This window comes from Homo sapiens, chromosome 5 (assembly GCF_000001405.40).
Source record: "Homo sapiens chromosome 5, GRCh38.p14 Primary Assembly".
Classification (NCBI taxonomy): domain Eukaryota; kingdom Metazoa; phylum Chordata; class Mammalia; order Primates; family Hominidae; genus Homo; species Homo sapiens.
In genome coordinates this window covers 135,672,688-135,693,348 of record NC_000005.10, presented here as the reverse complement: position 1 = coordinate 135,693,348, position 20,661 = coordinate 135,672,688, and the positions used below count along the sequence as shown (strand labels likewise).

General features: G+C 40.0%; 1 protein-coding gene across 2 annotated transcripts in view; it reads right to left on the bottom strand.

The window, feature by feature from the left end:
- SLC25A48 (solute carrier family 25 member 48) overlaps window positions 1-20,661 on the bottom strand; it is a 309,466-nt gene that overhangs the window by 195,289 nt on the left and 93,516 nt on the right. The gene's annotated exons all lie outside the window — the stretch shown is intronic.

The following is a 20,661-nucleotide window of genomic DNA, read 5'->3' as shown; positions in this document are numbered from 1 at the left end:
CCTACTCAGGCCTGACCCATTCCTTTCTTTGACCTCATGCAAAATTCACTAACTTTACAGCAACTGAAACAGGTTTCCAACCCAGAGTCTTCTTGTCAACATTTACCACAGTAGACTATGCAGCCTTTAGATCCCTGCTAATATACCAAGCCAAATGTAGAAGTTTTAATTAAATATAAATATGAAGACAGTTTAAATTTTTAAAAAACCATGAACATCTTAAGTTATTAAAATTCCACTCACAAATAGAATCAAACAAGGAAAAAGTACACTGAATGATGGAACCAATGAAAATGCATCCCAAACACAAACACTTTTGAAATTTAAGATAATTTGTTTTGAGCATTTAATTTGATCTTAACTGGTATTAAGGTTTCATCTTCAAAGGAGGAAAATTTAAAGCACTTAGAGGACCTTTACTCATTGGACCTTATATTCTAATCCAAATCTCAGTCTTCAGCTCAGTGGAAGGCAGGCAGGATCAAATCCAGCTCCATTGGAAAACAGATATTCATCTCTTAGTTGAGTGGCAGGTTTAATTAGCAGCCACATTCTATTTTAATTGCTAGATTATTAGCAGAAACAGCATCACCATGGATGGCTGCATTGCATGTAAATTTGGAGTGAGATACTCTGCTATGTAACTTTTTCCAAAGAGATTAAGACATGCAAGAAGACAGCTCCTCTAAGCTCTCAAAGACGGCATTTCCTACCTTTCCCGTGACTTCTCCTCTGTCTGGGGCACTTTTTAATAGCAAATAACCCTCTGAGAGGACAAAGTGAGATCAAATTCTTGAACACTAAAAGAGCCTCCTTAAATCTATAACCCATCTTGATTGTCTATTTTTCCACCTGCATGATGCAGATTTTTCAAAATATGTTTAATCAGAAAACTGATTAAGCCATTCTCAGGGCAGCACATTTGATTCTCTGTGAAACACTGGCCCTCCTTTTGGCTCATCCGAAAAGAATCCCACTGCCAGACAAAGAACTAGCACGAGCTACTGACTACCTTTTTTTTTTTTTTTTTGAGACGGGGTCTTGCTCTGTCACTCAGGCTGGAGTGCAGTGGTGTGATCTCGGCTCACTGCAACCCCCTGCCTCCTGGGTTCAAGCAATTCTCCCGCCTCAGCCTCCCAAGTAGGTGGGACTACAGGCGCATGCCACCACACCCAGCTGATTTTTCTGTATTTTTAGTAGAGATGGGGTTTCACCGTGTTAGCCAGAATGGTCTCGATCTCCTGACCTCAGGATCCGCCTGCCTCGGCCTCCCAAAGTGCTGGGATTACAGGTGTGAGCCACCGCGCCCGGACTGCCTACCTCTTTTTTAAAGATTTGTTAGCTTGAAGAACACAACTCACGTAGCTCTTGGGCAGGACTCTGGACTTCTCTGAGCCATGTTTCTGGGCTGCTGCAGGGTTGAGAGGAAGGCTCCTGACACCAACCACACTTGAGCAAGGGCCAGATGATACATGGACTCTGCAGCTGTTCAGCAACTGTGTCAGAGTCCGTGTCCCATGCTCAGCACTCATCTACCTAATCTCACTTAAGCCTTACACAACCCCAGGTGGAATATGTGATTTCCACTTTACAGCTCTAGAGGTGTGGGCACGAAGTCTAAATCCAGCATCTTTGGTTTTAGACATCTTGCAAGATTTGAGGGCAGGTAATAAGGAATCTTGCAAAAAGAGCAAGGTCATTTATAGAGTATCCAACTTGTCCCAGTTTGCCTGGGACTCTTCTAGTTATAGTATGGAAAGCCCTTCATCCAGGATACCCCTCAGTCCTGGGCAAGTGGGGATGGTGTCTCAGACTATTTCTAAATGCCCAAGAAGAGGCACACACAAGATGCCCCATGCAGTGCCTGGCTCTTCCAGGGAAGCATGTAGAGCAACACCAAGCTGCCCTGGAGACCCTGACTCTTTCCCACCTTCCCTCCTCCTGCTGAAGCAGGGCAGAGCACGGGACTGGGTTCCCAGGAAGGACTCCCATACAACCCGTGCTTTTTATCACCCAGCTCTGAGCAAGAAGCCCTCCTCCTCATATGTGTCTGTGTTTGAAAGCCACAGCCTCTGAATAGCAGGTCTATCTGTGAGTAAAATTTATGACTCTTGTTTCCACTGGATCCAACCTTTTAACCCTGGGAGTGCTTAATTGCCTTTTCCAGGTTTTGCTTTAATAACCAGCTTGATTCTTGCCAATTTGGGCTGAATCGAGAAGCGCTGAATGTGTGACGGGAAACGGAAAGCTCATTACTTGATACTTGATACAGCTTATGCCAAATCCTTAATTCATTGATTTCACTCGTGGCATCTTTTCTTAAACGACAAGTCAGAAATTCATATGTAAAACTTCCAAACTCAGTTGGGGATCCTCAAAGCTGATTTTTATTAAAAAAAAAAAATGCCTTCCCTGAAGACACACTTTGGGAGAAATTCTGACCATGAATTACAGGACAGCTTTGGAATTCTTGGTCTCTCCCAGAGGAGCTCACCCTTTCTGTTGGGGCCTCTTGGGCCCCACACTCCGCCTTCCAAAGCCAGCACAGAGTAAGGTGTGGACATCTGGTTCCTGTTTCTGGATTCAAAATTGATCTGCTGGGTGATTCTTGGCAAGTCACTCAACCTCTCTGAGCTTAAGTTTCCCTAATCCTGGCTCACCAGACACCTCTCATGGGGAGGGGCGGGTGGCCTGTTAATGAGCAGGTGTTTTGGGAAGGGAGGGCTCAGCTGATGGCACAGCATAAGAGAATCCCAAGGAAAAGCAGGGACAGGTGGGGGCTGCAAATCATAGCAGAGCAGTAGCTAAACCCTGCAAAACACAAGTGGCTTGTAGCAGGGAAGAAGTTATTTCTAGAATCACTCATGTTTTACTCCAAGATAATCAAATCTCCTCATACAATCTCAGACCCAGCCTTGTTAGTTCTTCAAGGCCCCTCTGGAGCACGCTTACCTTCATGCAGCCTTCCCCAGTTCTCTTTGGCTTATGCTGGCTTTGTTCTTTCCTGAACATTCCACTGCTCTATGTGATTTTCATCCCTCCATAATATATTAAAGGATTCCTACACCCATGCTCCCAATGCCACATGCATTATGAGTCTTCCCACATTCACTTCTCCCATACATGAACTTGAAGAATTTGTTGTTATCTCCATTTTGCAGATAAGAAGACGGAGGCATAGGGAGGTTTACTAATTTTTGGGGTGACCAACTTGTCTTGGTTTGTCTGGAACCATCCTGGTTTTAGCACTGAAAGTCTTGCATCCTAGGAAACCCCCCAGCCCCAAGCAAACCGAGGCAGTGGGTCACCCTAGTTCGAATGTACATGTCTGGCTGACCCAAATAAGTGCTCTTTCCTCAGCGCCCCTTGCTCCTCTCCTTACCCAGTCCTCGTCCCCAAGTCCCCAGGCAGACACAAACTCCTCAAGGACAGCAACTATGTCTTAAAGCATTTTTGTATAAAATAACCTGGAATAGAATGGGAGTGGGTTCATATTTGCCAATTTGAATAAAATCGTATCTTCATTTCCATGATGGGAAGATCACTTTTCCTCTAACAGCATAGCTGGGTTGCTCTTGTAAGCTATTTTCGGGAAATGTCTTGCACAATTCAGCGTTACAGAGACAGGCACTTTCAAGCTCATCTCTCCTCTTTTACCAACAAGGAAATGAGTCGGCACAATGGAGTTTTAGGACCTTCAGGTTTCTAAGCAAGAACCACCTGCAATCCTCAATCTGTGTAGATCCAAATGCATGAATGCACAAAATAGATCTTTGAAAAGGCACCTCTATTACTGTAGGACTCTGTGATATAGCATTTGAACTTGCACATCCAGCTCTTCAGCTCTCAAGGCCCTTTCTTTTACTTTAGACACTTATTCAACAATGTATGTATGCTGTCACCAGGTGCCGGTGCTGCCTCACTTGGGATGATCCATATTGAACACAAACCTCAATTGACCAATTATCTGATTCCTTCCCCAAAACCATGGGCTGTAGAAGGAGGGTCTATTGTATGGAGAATCACAACAGGTGCTCCAGTTCTCAGGGATTACAGTTAAGAGAGTGCCTGTGCCTGTAGATTCCCTCTTAAGACTTGGATGAGGCCTCCCTATGAAACAGAAGGGACTGATAGGTCCAAGAGGGTCTGAGGCACCCAGTTCCTTGCTGCCAAAGGCCATCAGGAGAGTATTTGGCTTATCTCATTGATTTCATGCAAACCAATGATCAGAAGCAGCAAAGCATAGTGGTTAGGCTCACAGACTCGGAAGCTAGACAAACTTACTAGCTATGTAGCCTTGATCTTATTAATTAATCTATCTAAGTCTTAGTTACCTCATCTGTAAGGCAGAAATAATAATATTGTCTTATAAGACTGTTGTGAGGATGCACTCAGAAACATATGTGAAGAGTTGAAACACAGTAAGCATTCAAAGAATGATAGCTATTATTATTATTATTTGATTATATGGTTGGACATGGTCCCATTGGCTCCCATTGACATTGACTCCCAGTGAGGGTTCAGCCAGGCTGGAGTGGGGGCAGCTGCTGGTGAAAGCATCTCTCCATTGTACAATTTACCACTCTCCTCTGCACCAGTGGCAGCTAGAATTGCATCTCGATGAACTCATGCCCAACCCAGCCTTCAGGGCCTGCTTTTCCACTGAATCCCATTGCATGGGATGAATGTTGGCTTTTCACAGAGTGTTGGCGTTTTAGCCTTTGTTTTTTCAGCATGTTTACAGGGAATGTGAATGCTCAAATCAATATTCCCTGGATAGCAATGTTCCCTCATGGAATAAGTTATTTTGCAATTTCTTTCCATGGTGTGTGTGTGTGTTTAAGCTGCAATAAATCATTCTATGACTTCTTCAGTGTTGCTGAACTTCTTCATAGACATTCATGCAGTGAAACACAAGGAGCACTTTGGATCCTAAGTCAAAATCTCTTACAGGAATATCTGGATTATCTAGAGATCAGAACACCAATAAAGTCAACTATTCAACTGTATCCACAGAGGCTGTTAAAAAAAAAAGCCTGAGAGAAACATGGAAGCAATCCAAATATCCATTGGTGGATGAATGGATAAGCAAAATGTGATATAGACATATGACGGAATATTATTCAGCCTTAAAAAGGGAAGAACTCCTGACAGGCTATGACTTGGATGAATCTTATGGGCATAATACCAAGTGAAATAAGCCATTCACAAAAAGACAAATACGGTATGATTGCACTTGTGTGAGGTACTTAGAGTAGTGAAAATCACACAGACAGAAACTAGACTTGGCGGTTGCTGGGGCTGGGGAAGGGGTGAATTACAAGATGAATGAGTTCTGAAGATGGATGGGGGAGATGGCTGTACAACATTAATGAGTGTCAAGTATTTAATACCACTGAGCTGTACACTTAAAATGGTTAATATGGTTTTATATTATGTGCATTTTACCACAATTTAAAAATAATTGGGAAAAAAGACCCCAGAAAAGTAAGTAGTTATCAGAAAGCCCATATGCAATAAGCCACACTCAGGACAAAAACAGACAAAAGTAAAGCCATGCAATAAACATGGAGAGGAGAAGAATTGTTAGTAAAAACAGAACAGTCAGCATCCATTTCACTCTGCAAGAGCCCTGAGAACATTACCAAATACAAGAATCCAGGAAAACAATGTCTGTTTACAAAGATAACTCTAAGTCTTTATGAAATTGTGACTTGTGTCTAAGGTGCTATTTACTAAGGAGGAAAGGGAAGATATCTTTATTAAAACAGCAACATTAAAAAAAAGACTTGACCTGAATTGACATAAAGGAAATTATAAAAGATTTCAAAAATGCTTTGAGTCATAACAATAGTGTTAGAAAAATAAAATGAATATTTAAATATCAAGCCTCAGTTACACAGAAATCTCAGTTACACAGAAATCTGATTTGTCTGGATCACCATGTTTCTTGGCAGATAAATGGAGCATTTTGCATGTATAAATACTGTAATTCTAAGTGCCATTGTAAAATCATAGAGGATTAAGCTTCTGATACATTATGACTGACTTTTCCAAAAATTACCTAATGATTTTCCAAATATATAGGTGGTAAAGTGCTCACCTTCTCACCCAATCTGTAGGTAACCTTTTTGAAGAGTAAATAAGATTCTTTAATGTCAGAGTAAATAAGATTCCTTAATGTCAGAATTCTTTCAGTCTCCCTGGTTCCCACTCAGAGTGAAGACATCAAGACACAGAAGAGCGCACAACTTCATGATCTTTGGGCATGAAAATCCTGGATGAGTCAAGCCAATAAGCCACTTAATGGATTGTTTTAAAAATTGTCATGGTCTGGGTTGTGCTGAGAGGGCATTAGGTTGTTCATATCAGGATTCTGCTTCTCTGTGGAAAAAAAAAAAACAACCCTTTCCCTTTCTTTGAAGTTAGCAAGTCATAGCCTTCAGAAATAAATGAAGCTCTTCCCAGAATGTCAGATGATAACCTAAACACCTTGTCTATCCATCAGTTCATCTATTCATCCTTCCATCCACCCATACTTCCATACTTATATCTGTCTATCCTTTCATTCCCTCTATCTATCCATCCCTTCCCATCCTTCCTTCCCTTTTTCCATTCATTCATTCTTCTATCTAGCTGTCCATCCAACCATCCATCTGTCGTCCAGTAAAACTTCACTGGTGCCTGCTAAATATGAGGTTCTGGACTGAGCCCAGGGGAGAGACGCAGTGCCCCTGCCCTCATGGCATGTTCGGTCTGCGGAGACAGGTTCACAGCAAATGAGAAGCATGAAGTACTATAGTGTGCCAGGGTGTAGCATGGAAGGCTCCACCATACGGGGAGCAGCGGAGTCAGAGAAGGCTTCACTGAGGAGACTACCCTGAGACATGCGAGATAAATGGGCATTAGCCCAAGTACAGTTATCCAAGGAACTGGAAGAGACTTAGTGTGGCTGGAGTGCAAACAACAAGGTAGGGGTCAGAGAGCTGAGGGACAAAGAGGAGCTCACTTCTGAGGGCCTTGTGAGCCACGCCTAGCAGTTTGGACATAATTTAATCCTCTCTACAACCCACAGAAATAACTGTTTAATTAAATTTAATCCATTTAATCCTCTCTACAACCCACAGAAACACCTGCTAATTTTCCCATTATAGAGATGAGGAATTGCACCTCAGAGAGATTAACTGATGTGTCCAAGATGAGATGGTTAAGTGGTGATGAGAAGATTTGAACCCAGGGCTGCCCAACTGCAATACCATGATAATAGAGAGGACACTCTCTGACAAGCTCCATTCAAGTTCAGCTTGCTCCGGCCTCATATGAACCAAGTCACAGAATGTGTGACAGCTCCAGCAGCAGTCACCTTGAGAGACAGAAGATGGGAGATGGGAGGGGCTGTGGTGCCTGGAACACCAAGTCTACTGAACAGGAACTCCAGGTCAAAAATCCCCAGGGAATCTGCAGGACTTGCTGGGCTGCTAAAGTAGGGGACACACCACTGAAGGCAGAACAGCTGCAACTGGCTTCAATCCCAGCATGTGGATTCAGTGGTGGATGGAAGAACACAGGTCATGTATAGGAATCAGAAATGCCGCAGAACCTATTCTTTAAAAGGTCCTTACATAGGCTGGGTGCGGTGGCTCACGCCTGTAATCCCAGCACTTTGGAAGGCCGAGGTGGGTGGATCACCTGAGGTCAGGAGTTAGAAACCAACATGGTGAAACCCCGTCTCTACTAAAAATACAAAAATTAGCTGGGTGTGGTGGCACGTGCCTGTAATCCCAGCTACTCAGGAGGCCGAGGTATGAGAATTGCTTGAACCCGGAAGGCAGAGGTTGCAGTGCGCCAAGATTGCACCATTGCACTACAGCCTGGGCAACAAGAGCAAAAGTCTGTCTCAAAAAAAAAAAAAAAAAAGTCCTTACATCTAAAACAGCTTCTTCTCCCTACCTAAGATAAAGAGCTAACTTGTCAATTTCTATTACAAGAGTCGAATTTTCTTAATATATAACATTTTTCAAAATATATAAAATTTCATAATATATAAAATAATATATAAAGAGTTTCTACAAAATCCACAAGAGAATGGCCAAAAACCTAAAAGATAAGTGGACAAAGGCTATAATCAAAAAGTTTGCAGAAAAAAAAGAGATGCAAATTGCTTTAGACATAACAAAAAGATCCTCAATCTCACGCATAAAAAAGAGAAATTCAAACTGAAACTACCACAAGATACCATTTTTAACCTTTCAGATTGGGAAAAATTAAAATTTTTGATAATATAATGCAGGCAAAGGTCAGGAAAACAGACAAGCTCATACACTGCTCGTGAGAGTGTAAACTGATACAGCCTCAGTGGATGGATTGGATAATAGCTTCCAAATGAAAAGTGTACCTAGTTTTTGGCCCTGTAAGTTGACTACTTGCATGTCTATGAAGAGATAAATCTACACTGCAGAACAGGATATAATTGCAAAAGAGTGGTAATAAACCAAATGTCTATCAATGGGAAACTGACTATGTAAAATATGCTATACCCACACAATGGAACACTCTGCAGCCATTAGAAACGGAATAAGGAAGTTTATGCAGTTATGTGAAACAAATTTCAACATCTACCGTAAAGTGAAAAAAGCAACATACATGTGCTGCTGGAGGGGATGCTGTGTGCTGGGCCCAACCAGATCCCCCAGCTGCTGTGAGTGTTGGTGGCTGACAGTTAAGTCCTTCTCCAGGAGTTACCCATGGCTGAAGAGAGTAGCCTTTGGAAAATTATGCTCACATTCAATGGCCTGCTCCCCTCCAACCCAAATTGGGACAACTCTGAAGGCTATCCTAGCTCCCCACAGAGCTGGTGGAGGCCTCTGTCGAGACTGCAATACAGTTTACTCCCTCCCTATGCTCAATCCTGCTTCCTTCTCTTCCTTGCAGATGTTGATCCCAAAGGCACTCCCCAGGAAAATTCCTGTCCTGCAAATCTCAATCTCCGAGTCTAGGTCCCTAGAACTAACCTGCTATCTCTACCATTTGTGGAGGAAAAAAAAGGGGGAGAAGGGAGTAAAAATTAAAGAATTGCACACTGACATACCTGTCAGTTGTGTAAAGAATACACCTAGAAAGACATGCAAGAATCTGGAATATTGATTAATTCTGAGAACCGAGTTGTTGGGGATCAGGAGAAGGAGGAAAACTGCTCATGGATTTTTCATTTTGTGTTTTTGAAATTTATATCATGAACATATGTTACCTATTAAAAATACATTTAAATAGTAACAATGCCTTTAAAAAGTGAAGGTGGAAGATGTTCAAGAAAACCGAATGGGTCTCTTCTGGCCCTTAGATATCACCAGCATTCAGCATGAAGTCTCTGCCAGGCTGAAATCCTAAAATCACAGCAATGAAACCAGAGCTCATGTTTACCACATGGCCTGCTGACACTGCAGGGAGAATGCTACTTCTTGTCCATTTCAAAACTCACAGGGACATTCTAGATCCAAGCTAAGCTGGGAATGGGGAATGATTCCCGCAGGGCATCCACTCCTGAGTGCTCCATGGGGTTGTTCCCAAAGTCCGGGAACCTCAAGTGCTCAGTGTTAACCCACATTCCATTAGAAGGACTAGAAACTGTAAGGTATATTTGTCCTCTTGTCATGGGCAGTTTGACGATGGTGGGATGACCCTCCTATCAGGTCCATTCCTAGGAAGCTGTCCAAAAGCCTGGCCTTGAGTGCCTTGGTGCTGCTGACCACCCAGCTAGTCAGCACATACTTAGGGGTGTGCTTTTCTAGATGCTCCCTCCAAATCAGAATTCCTGCCACCCCAACTAGCCAAGACTTACTTTAAGAAATGTATTCCTTATCCCACTTATAAATACAGAACTGCAACATGCCAAGAGGGATCAGGGTGATTTCTCAAGAATTGCTAAGTCAGCAAGAATGCCAGTTAGCAAAAGATGAGATTGGGATTGGGACTTTCCAGTGAGAGCAGATCCTGGGGGCCCAATAAACATGTGATGCAACAATTTTGGTCCCTGCCACACTGTAAAATGCCTTTATAAGGTCTGACTCTTTTCCATATATTAGAGTTCTCCTCATTCCCAGAACTCTCTGCCCCCCTGCCCTCCTCCCACCCCATTCCTTGGTCAATACTGATTAAACCAATAGTAGTTTATCCATTTTCATTCTGTCATGTATGTTATCTGCAGGTGCAGTCAGGTCAATGGAGGGTTGAGATTGACGCCACAAATGGAAGCAGTGTTAACAGTGGAGACAGTGGAGAGTTATTCTGGTCCACCCTCCAGAGGCTTCTCCAGTGGGATTCAGATCGTAGAAACAGCCACAGCCATCCAGTGACATTAATCCCTTCTACCCTCTCTCATTCAGCCATAAAATGAGTTCTCATAAGCAGACCTGATAAATGATGATTAGTAATAATCATAATAACAATAAAGATATGTTGTGCCTCCCAGTAAGACCATGGATAGAATTACATTTTAAAAACTATAAAACACTGTGCCAGTATAAGGTATCATTTTGACATACCCTCCCCCAGATTGAATTATTACCTGCTGTTCATTTTTAGAAAGAATATTTGTCTGGCCATTCTGGGGACTTGAATTATAATTTCAGTTGGTTGTACCTCTTATCTCTCAAGGATTGATAGCTCAGAGCCCCACCCAGCAGCCCTTTTTTCTCTTCTTCTTCTCCCCCATAAAGAAATGTGATTGGCATACAACCTGCAAGAATGCCTTGCACATAGCCAAAGTATTGTGGTGATTAGTTAATTCTCTTTACATCCTTCAAGGAAAGGCACATATGTATGCAAGCATATGACATACATGTGCTCACACATAGGTATGCACACACATATATATTTATCACACATATACATATAAATTTAAACACATGCATGCACACTTATACCAATCTTACCTAATCCTTGGCCAGGTTGAAAAGTACCAAGAAATTGCCTTGACGAAGAGTGACACTAGGAATGATGAGTAAGAGGAATTAGATTGACCCTCCTACCCTAAGCAACACAACAAAAAAATCCTACAAGATATATAAAACCACAGTTTTCAGACATCAGACTGCAGGGCTCAGAGCAGTGGTCCCCAAGAGAAGGGAAACTAACAAGGTGAGCCCTACTTGTTACCCCAAATTACTGCCTGCCTATAGTTTCCAGGCCATAGCAGACAGGGGGAATCCAAACAGAGCCTATAAATTCTCCTAAGTTAAGAATTTTGGGAGGCAAAGGCAGCTAGGATTTATGGGGCAGAGTACCAGAGAGGAGAGAATTGCACAGAGAGAGCTCCAGATATTTGCAGACTCTCAAGTCTTTAGCTGAGTATTGATCATCACATCCATGGAAAGAAACTACCTGAGTCCAGGAAAAATCCACCCAAAAGGAACACATAAAACAATCATCAATCATCATGTAGAGCCAGGAATAGTTTATGTTCCTATGCCAGAGTGGAAGAACCTCATTTTACACATGCTTAGGGGCATCAGATAGCACATTCAGAGGGCATTGCCTCATTAACGAAAAAAAACTAGTCTTAGACTAGAGGCTGTTCTGGCCTTGAATAACAAAGCTTAAAAAGTAAGCTGCAAAAGGATTAAATTGTTTCTAAGTAGCTTAAATGAATCTCAGAGCAAAGCTTAAGAATATTTAAAAGAATACAAAAATATCCAGCATACAACACAGTAAAATCAACAATGTCTGGCAAGCAATTAAAAATTACCATATTGCCAAGAAGCAGGATAATACTACACATATCAGGAGAAAAATCAATCAAAAGAAACACACAGAAATAATACAGATGATAGAATTAATAAACAAGAACATTTAAAAGGTTATTACCATTACATTCTCTGTGTTCTAGAAGATAGACGAAAGTAAAATGTCAAGGAGAGACATGTAAGATAAAAGACCCAACTGAACTTGTAGATGTAAAAAATACAATATCTGAAATGAAAAATACATTGGATGAAGTTAACAGAAAATTAGACACTGCTGAAGAAAAGAAAATAGTGAACTTGAAGACAGAAATAGAAACTATTATAAATGAAACACAGCTGGGCACAGTGGCTCACGCCTGCAATCCCAGCACTTTGGGAGGCCGAGGTGGGCAGATCACCTGAGGTCAGAGTTTGAGACCAGCCTGACCAACATGGAGAAACCCCATCTCTACTAAAGATACAAAATTAGCCGGGCATGCCTGTAATCCCGGCCACTCAGGAGGCTGAGGCAGGAGAATCACTTGAACATGGGAGGCAGAGGTTGCGGTGAGCCAAGATCGTGCAATTGCACTCTATCCTTGCCAACTAGAGCGAAACTCCATCTCAAAAAAAGGAAAGAAAAAAAGAAAAAGAAAATGAAACACAGAGAGGAAAAAGAGAGAAAAACTATAGGGAAAATCAATGGGCTGTGAGACAACTTCAAATGGCCTAGGATACATATAATTGGAGTTTCAGAAGAAGAGAGAGAGGATGGACAAAAAATTGCTTAAAGAAATAATGACTTGATATGGTTTGGCTGTGTCCCCACCCAAATCACATCATGAAACGTAGTTCCCACAATCTCCACGTGTCATGGGAGGGACCTGGTGGGAGATAATTGAATCATGGGGGTGGGTTTTTCCCATGCTGTTCTTGTGATTGTGAATAAGTCTCATGAGATCTGATGGTTTTATAAAAGGCAGTTCCCCTTCACACACTCTCTTGCCTGACACTATGTAAGATGTGCCTTTGCTCTTCCTTTGCCTTCCACCATGATTGTGAGGTCTTCCCAGCCATGTGGAACTGTGAGTCCATTAAACCACTTTTTCTTTATAAATTACCCAGTCTCAGGTATTTTTTCAAAGCAGTATGAAAACAGACTAAAACATGACTGAAAATTATCTAAATTTTATCACAAATTCATCCATAAATTCATTGTAATCCTAATCAAAATGTCAACAGGATTTTGGGGGTGGAAATTAGCAAGTCAAATTTGCATGAAAATGCAAAGGATCTGTGCTAGCTAAAACAACATTGAAAAAGAATATCAGAGAACATATACCATCTGATTTCAAGATGTAGTGTAAGGTAACAGTAATCGGGGAGGGGCTTCAAAATGGCTGACTAGAGGCATCTGGTACTCACCTCCTTCATAAAGAACCAAGATAGTTAGTAGATAATCACACTTCAAATGGACCATCTAAGAAAGAACACTTGAATTCAAAAGAGTAGTGACTACAGACACCTAAAGCAAGAAGGAAAGGTAAGCGAGGCAGCCTGCTTGGCTGGGATTGGCTAGGAGCTTGGAGAGGCAACCCAGTGCAAAAAAGGGTAAGTGAGTGGCTCCCAGAGGTCCACGTTCCCACTGTAGATACCTGCATCCTAGCCATGGGAAGGCTCCAAGACTTTCATGAGCCCCTAGACTAACCTAGGGGGTACGCCTGGAGACCATGTGAAGGCATTGCTCTGGAGAGAAAGCTCGCACTGGATCCCAAACACACTCCCAACACCTAAGCAGCTACAGCAAGGCACTATACTGACAGCCCAGCTCCAGCAGACTGCATCTGGCCTGGAGACCCAAGAGCCTCTATAGCTCCATATTTCTTGAACCCCATTGACCTTCCGAGCCCACAGCCACCACCTCAGCCAGGTGCATGGCCTGAAGCCCTGGGCCAGAGCTGAAGCACAAGCCATTGGCAAATACCTCACTGGCCCCAGCAGCAAAGTCACTGTGCATTTTTATGTTGCCCTGAGGAAAAAATCCCCTTCCTGCAGCAGATGCCAATGCAGGCTGACACAGCCAGGTCTGAAGTGTAAGCAAAGTGCATGCTCATCAGCCACCTGCATATGGTTACTGCCACCAAAGTAACCTTGCTCTCCCCAGTAGCAGGGCTGAAGTACAGCTGCTACCACCACCGCCCAAGCATTCCACACTGGTCCTGGGGATCACCCTACCACCTGGGAGCCTGAGGACAGATCCACCTGGCCCAGCTCGGCCCTCGCAGTGCCCAGACATGCTGTCCAGGGGCCTGAGGACTGCCCGGCCCAGTTTACCTCTGTTGTAAGCCTCCTACTGGGGGCCTGCAGTCAGGCCTACCCAATCTGCCACTACCACCATAGTAGGCACCCACCCACATGTCCCACCTGCAAGTCTGGGGACTGACCTGCCCAGCTCATCACAGCCACCATGAAAACCAAAATGGACCACTTGGGACCCAGAGGTTAGTCTCACTGCTACTGCCATTGCCTATGCCACAACTGCTGCCCAGGGGCCCAAGACCCACCTGCCTACCCAGCCCACTACTGCTACTACCAGCACCCAAGCAAGCTGCCTGCAGACCTAAGAACTAACCCACCTGGACTTATGGACACCGGTGCTAGTGTACACTGTCCTGGAGCCCAAGGACAGACATGTTCAGCCTGTGACTGTAACCACTAGGGCCCAGGAATGGACCCACCCTATGTCCTTGTCCCCAGAAAAATTTTACCACAGCCTCCACTAACAACCACACCCTAAGCTACTGAGGAAATCACAGACATGACTAATGCTGTTTACAGCTGAAAAAAATCATACCAAAGACTATGCTACTACATATGTCTAGAATCAAAGCCAAAGAACCCTTCCAACCAGCACCATGGATACTACTTCAGGAAAAATTACCCCCGTCCCTCAAAAGCAAATTTGAAAAATTGGAAAAAGTGACTGTGACACCAGATGTGCAGATATCAATGTAAGGACACAGGCAACATGAAAAAAAGGAAATATTATACCTCCAAAGAACACAGTAATTCTTTGGCAACAGATCTCAATCAAAAATAAATTTATGAAATGCCATACAAATAGTTAAAAATAATGATATTTAAAAAGCCCAGTGAGATACAAGAGAATTTTAAAAAATACAAATAAATCAGAAAAAGAACTCAAGATGTGAATGAGAAATTTACCAGAGAGATAGATATTATTAAAAAGAACCAAACACAAATTCTGGAACTAATGAAATCATTAAACAAAATGTAAAATACATTGGAAAGCTTCAACAATAGACTAGATTAATCAGAATAAAAACATTTCAGAACTTGAAGACAGATCTTTTGAAATAACCCAGTCAGGCAAAACTAAAGAAAAAAAACGAATTAAAAAGAATGAACAAAGCTTATGTGGTATATGTGACACCATAACGTGAAAAAATATTTGAATTTTTGATGTCCCAAAAGGTGAAGAAAAAACAAAAGGGATAGAAAACCTATTTAACAAAGTAATGATGAAAACTCTCCAAGTCTAGCAAGAAATTTAGACATCCAGATACAGGAGGCCCGGTGACCCCTAAATAGATACAATGCAAAAAGGTCTTCTTCATGACACATTATAGTCAAATTGTCTAAAGTCAATGACAAAGAGAAAATTCTAAAAACAGCAAGAGAAAAGGGTCTAGTCACTAATAAAGGAGCTTTCATCAAACTAACAGCAGACTTCTCAGGAGAAACCTTACAGGTGAGGAAAGAATGGGATCACATAGTCAAAGTGCTGAAAGAAAAACACTGCCACACAACAATATTGTAGCAGTACAATTATCCTTCACAAATGAAGGACAAATAAAAATTTTCCCAGATAAGCAAATGCTGAGGGAATTCACCACCACTAGTCCAGCCTTATAAGAAATGCTCAAGGGAGTCCTAAACCTGGAAGTGAAGGGTGACATATACCATCTTGAAAACACATAAAAATATAACATTCACTGGTAAAGCAAGTACACAAATGAGGAAGAGAAAAGACTCAAATGGTACCACCACAGAAAATCAGCAAACCACAAAGATAATCAATAAGAGAAAAAGAAAGGAATAAAAATACACAAAACAACCAGACAACAATTAACAATATGATAGGAACAAAACCTCACATATCAACAATAACCCTTAGTGTAAATGGATGAAATTCTCCACTAAAAAGACATAAACTGGCTGAATGATTTAAAATACATGATCCAAGTGTATGCTACCTACAAAAAACATAGACTTTACCTAAACAGTCACATATAGACCAAAAGTAAAGGGATAGAAACATATTTCATGCAAACAGAAACCAAAAGTGAGGAGTAGCTTTACTTATGTCTGATAAAACAGGTTTAAGTCAAAAGAATAGAAAAAGTTCATGATAAAGGAAACAATCCAGCAAGAGAATATGACAATCCTAAATATTTATGTACCCGACACTAGAGCATTCAGATTCATAAAGAAAATATTACTAGATCTAAAGAAAGAGATAGACTCTAAAACAAAAATAGTGGAGGAGTTCAGCCCTCTACTATTAGCATTAGACAGATGAGCTAGACAGAAAGTCAACAAAGAAATATTGAATTGAAACTGCATATTAGACCAAATGGATATAACAGATATTTACAGAACATTTCATCCACCAGCTACAGAGTACACATTCTTCTCATTAGCACACGGAACATTCTCAAAGATGAACCATGTGTTAAGACACAAAACAAATCTCAACAAATTTTTAAAAATCAAAATCATATCAAGTATTGTCTCAGACTATAGTGACCTAGAAATCAATATTAAGAGGAAATTTGGAGACTGTACAAATACATAGAAATTAAACAACATGCTCCTGAATAACCCCTTTTTCAAGGAGGAATAAAGAAGAAAGTCAAATAATTTCTTGAAACAAATGACAATTGAAACACAACATACCAAAACCTATGGGATACTGCAAAAGCAGTGTTGAGAAGGAAGCTTATAGCAATAAACATGTACATCAGAAAAGAAGAAAGATTCCAAATAAACAGTCTAATGATGCCCCTCTAGGAACCTAAAAAGCAAGAAGCCAAACCTAAAATTAGTAGAAGAGGAGATATAATAAAGATCAGAACAGAACTAAATGAAAGGGAGACCAAAAAGGGTCAATGAAAAGTTGGTTTTTTGAAAAGACAAAATTGATAAACCAATAGTTAGAGTGACCAATAAAAAAACAGAGAAGACTCAAGTAAATAAAATCGGAAAATAAAAAGGAGACATTACAACTGAACCACAGAAATACAAAAGATCATCAGAGACTATTAAAGCAACTATACACTGATAAACTAGAAAACCTAGAGGAAACAGACAATGTCTGGACACATACAACATACTAAGATTGGATCAAGAAGAAATATTAATAGAAAACCTGAACAGACCAATAACAAGAGATATCCCCTTTACAGATGATATGATCCTATAACTAGAAATACCTAAAGAGTCCACCAAAAAACTCTTAGATGTAATAAATTCAGTAATGTTGCAGGATATAAAATCAACATACAAAAATCAGTAGCATTCGTGTTCACCAAAAATAAGCTAGCTAAGAAAGAAATCAATAAGGCAATCCAATTTATAATAGCTACAAAAAATAAAATAAAATGCCTAGGAATAAATTTAACCAAGGAAGTGAAAGATCACTACAAGGAAAACTACAAAACACTGATTTAAAAAATTGAAGAGGACACAAACAAATGGAAACACATTCCATGCTCATGGATCAGAAGAATTAATATCATTAAAATGACCATATTGCCCAAAGCAATCTACAGATTTAATGCAATCCCTATCAAAATACAAATGTCACTTTGGGCAGAATTCTAAAACGTAACCCTAAAATTCATATGGAACCGATAAAAGCTTAAATAGCCAAAGCAATCTTGAGCAAAAGAAACAAAGCTGGAGGCATCACATCACCTGACTTTAAAATATATTACAAGATTATAGTAACCAAAACAGCATGGTATTAGTATAAAAACAGACATGTAGACCAATGGGACAGAATTGAGAATCCAGGAATAAGTCCACGTATTTACAGCAACTGATTTTCAATAAAGGTGCCAAGAACATACACTGGTGAAAGGACACCCTCTTTAGTAAATGATGCTAGGAAGATTGGATATCCATATGCAGGCCAAGGTTTTATGGCTAAGACCTCAAAAGCATAGGCAACAAAAACAGAAACAGATAAATGGGACTATAGTAAACTAAAAAGCTTCTGCACAGCAAACAATCAACAGAGTAAAGAGACAACTTGTCAAAATGGGAGAAAATATTTTCAAACTATTCATCTAACAATGGACTAATGTCTAGCATATACAAGGAGCTCAACTCAGCAACAAACAATTCCATTAAAAAGTGGCAAAGGACATGAATAGATATTTCTCAAAAGAAGACATACAATGAACAACAGGTATATGAATAAATGTTCAACATCACTAATCATCAGGGAAATACAAATTAAAGCCACAATGAGGTATCATCTTTCCCCAGTTAGAATAGCTATTATTAAAAAGACAAAAAGTAACAGATGCTGGCGAGGATGCAGGGAAAAGGGACTCTTATACACTGTTTGTGGGAATGTAAACTGCTACAACCACTATGGAAAATGAATATATTTCTCAAAAAAAAAAACCCCACTAAAAATAGAATGACCATAAGATCCAGCAATCCCATTACTGGGTATTTATCCAAAAGAAAAGGAAACAGTATATCAAAGGGAGGTATGCACATGCATGTTTATTGTAGCCCTATTCACAATTCACAATAGCCAAGATATGGAATCAACCTAAATGTCCATCCACAGACAAATGGATAAAGAAAATGTGGTATACATACATACTTAAATACTATTCAGCCATAAAGAAAGAATAAAATCATGTCATTCACAGCAACATGGTCAGAACTGGAGGTCATTATGTTAAGTGAAAAAAAGACACAGAAAGGCACAGAAAGACAAAAGGCACAGAAAGAAAAAAAGACACAGAAAAAAAAGGCACAGAAAGACAATCATCACATGTTCTTACTCATATGTGAGAGCTAAAATAGTTGATTTCATGGAGGTAGAGAATAGAGTGATAGATACCAGAGTCTGAGAAGGGCTTGTGGGTAAGAGGTAATAAGGAGAGATTGGTTAATGGGTACAGACATACCATTAGTTAGTTAGATAGAAGAAGTAAATTCTAATGTTTAATAGCAGAGTAAGGTAACTATAGTTAACAAAATATTGTATATTTCAAAATAGCTAGAAGAGAGGACTAGAAAAATTCCCAACACATAGAAATGATAAATACTCGAAGTGACGGACACTCCAAATACCCTGACTTGATTATTATACAGTCTGTGCACGTAACACAATATCACATGTACCTTGTAAGTATATACAAATATTATAAATCAATTAAAATGTTTTTAAAATTAAAAATAAAGCTACAGTAAGCAAGGCAGTGTGGGTCACACAAAAATATATATATTAACAAATGAAACATAAAAGAAAGTCTAGATATAGACCAACCACACATGTGGTTGATGGATTTTTGACAAAGGTACCAAGGCAATTCAATGGAGAAAGGAGAGCCTTAGAACAACTTGTATAAGAACAATCAAATACCATGGGGGGGAAAAAAAAGCCTTGACCCTTACCTCATCTTACCTCATATCATATATAAAAATTAACTTGAAACAGATAATAGACCCAAATGTAAGAAGAGCTAAAACTATGGAACTTGTAGAAGAAAACCTTAAAGAAAAATCTAAATGACTGGACTTGGCAAGGATTTCTTAAATATAATACAAAAACACAAACAAAAAAGCACAATAAATTGGACTTCATCAAAATTTAAAATATTTGTTCATTAAAAGACACCTGTGGAAATATAAAGGCATGCCACAGACTCAGAAAATAATTGCAAAACATCTGACAAAGAACTTGTACCAAAAATATGTAAAGAACTCTTACAACTCAGTAATAGGAAGACAAAAAATTCAGTTTAAAAAATAAGAAAGTTTTTGAGCAGATATATCAAAGAAGATATCCAAATGTCAAGTGAATGAAAATATATTCAATAATATTAGTTGTTAGAGAAATACAAATGAAAATTACAATGAGAAACCACTACACTTTCACAAGAATGGCTAAAATTAAAGTGCCCATATCAAGTGTTAGCATGGGCAGGAACTGAAACTCTCAGAGGCATTTCTGGAGAGAATACAATAAGGCATAGTCACTTTGGACAACAGTTTGGCATATATTTGGAAAGTTAAGCATACATCTACCATACAACTTAGCTATTCTACTCCTAGGCATTTACGCAAAGAGGAATTAAAATACATTTTCACACAAAGATTTAGGCATAAATGTGCATAACAGCTTTATTTGTCATAGCCCCAAATTGGAAATAACCCAAATGCCCATAAACAGATAAATTAAAAAACACATTGTGATATATCCATACAGTGGAATACCACTCAAAAGGGAATAACTATTGATATGTGCAATAGCATGGAGGAATATTAATATCAAAATAATTATGCTGAAAGAAGCCAGATAAATAAATATATATACTGTATGATCTCATTTATTAAAAATTCTAGAAAATGCAAATTAATCTATATTGACAGAAACCAAATCACTGTATGCTTGGGGGTGGAGCATAAGGGTAAAGATGGAGGGAGGAAGGGATTTACAAGGGCCTGAGCAATCTGTTAGGAGTGATGGATACATTTATAATCTTGATTGTAGTTGTGGTTCCATTGGCATATACATTTGTCTAAACTCATCAAATTGCACACTTTAAATATGTACAACTTCTTGTATATCAATTCCACCCCAATAAAACTGTAAATAATAAATAACTTT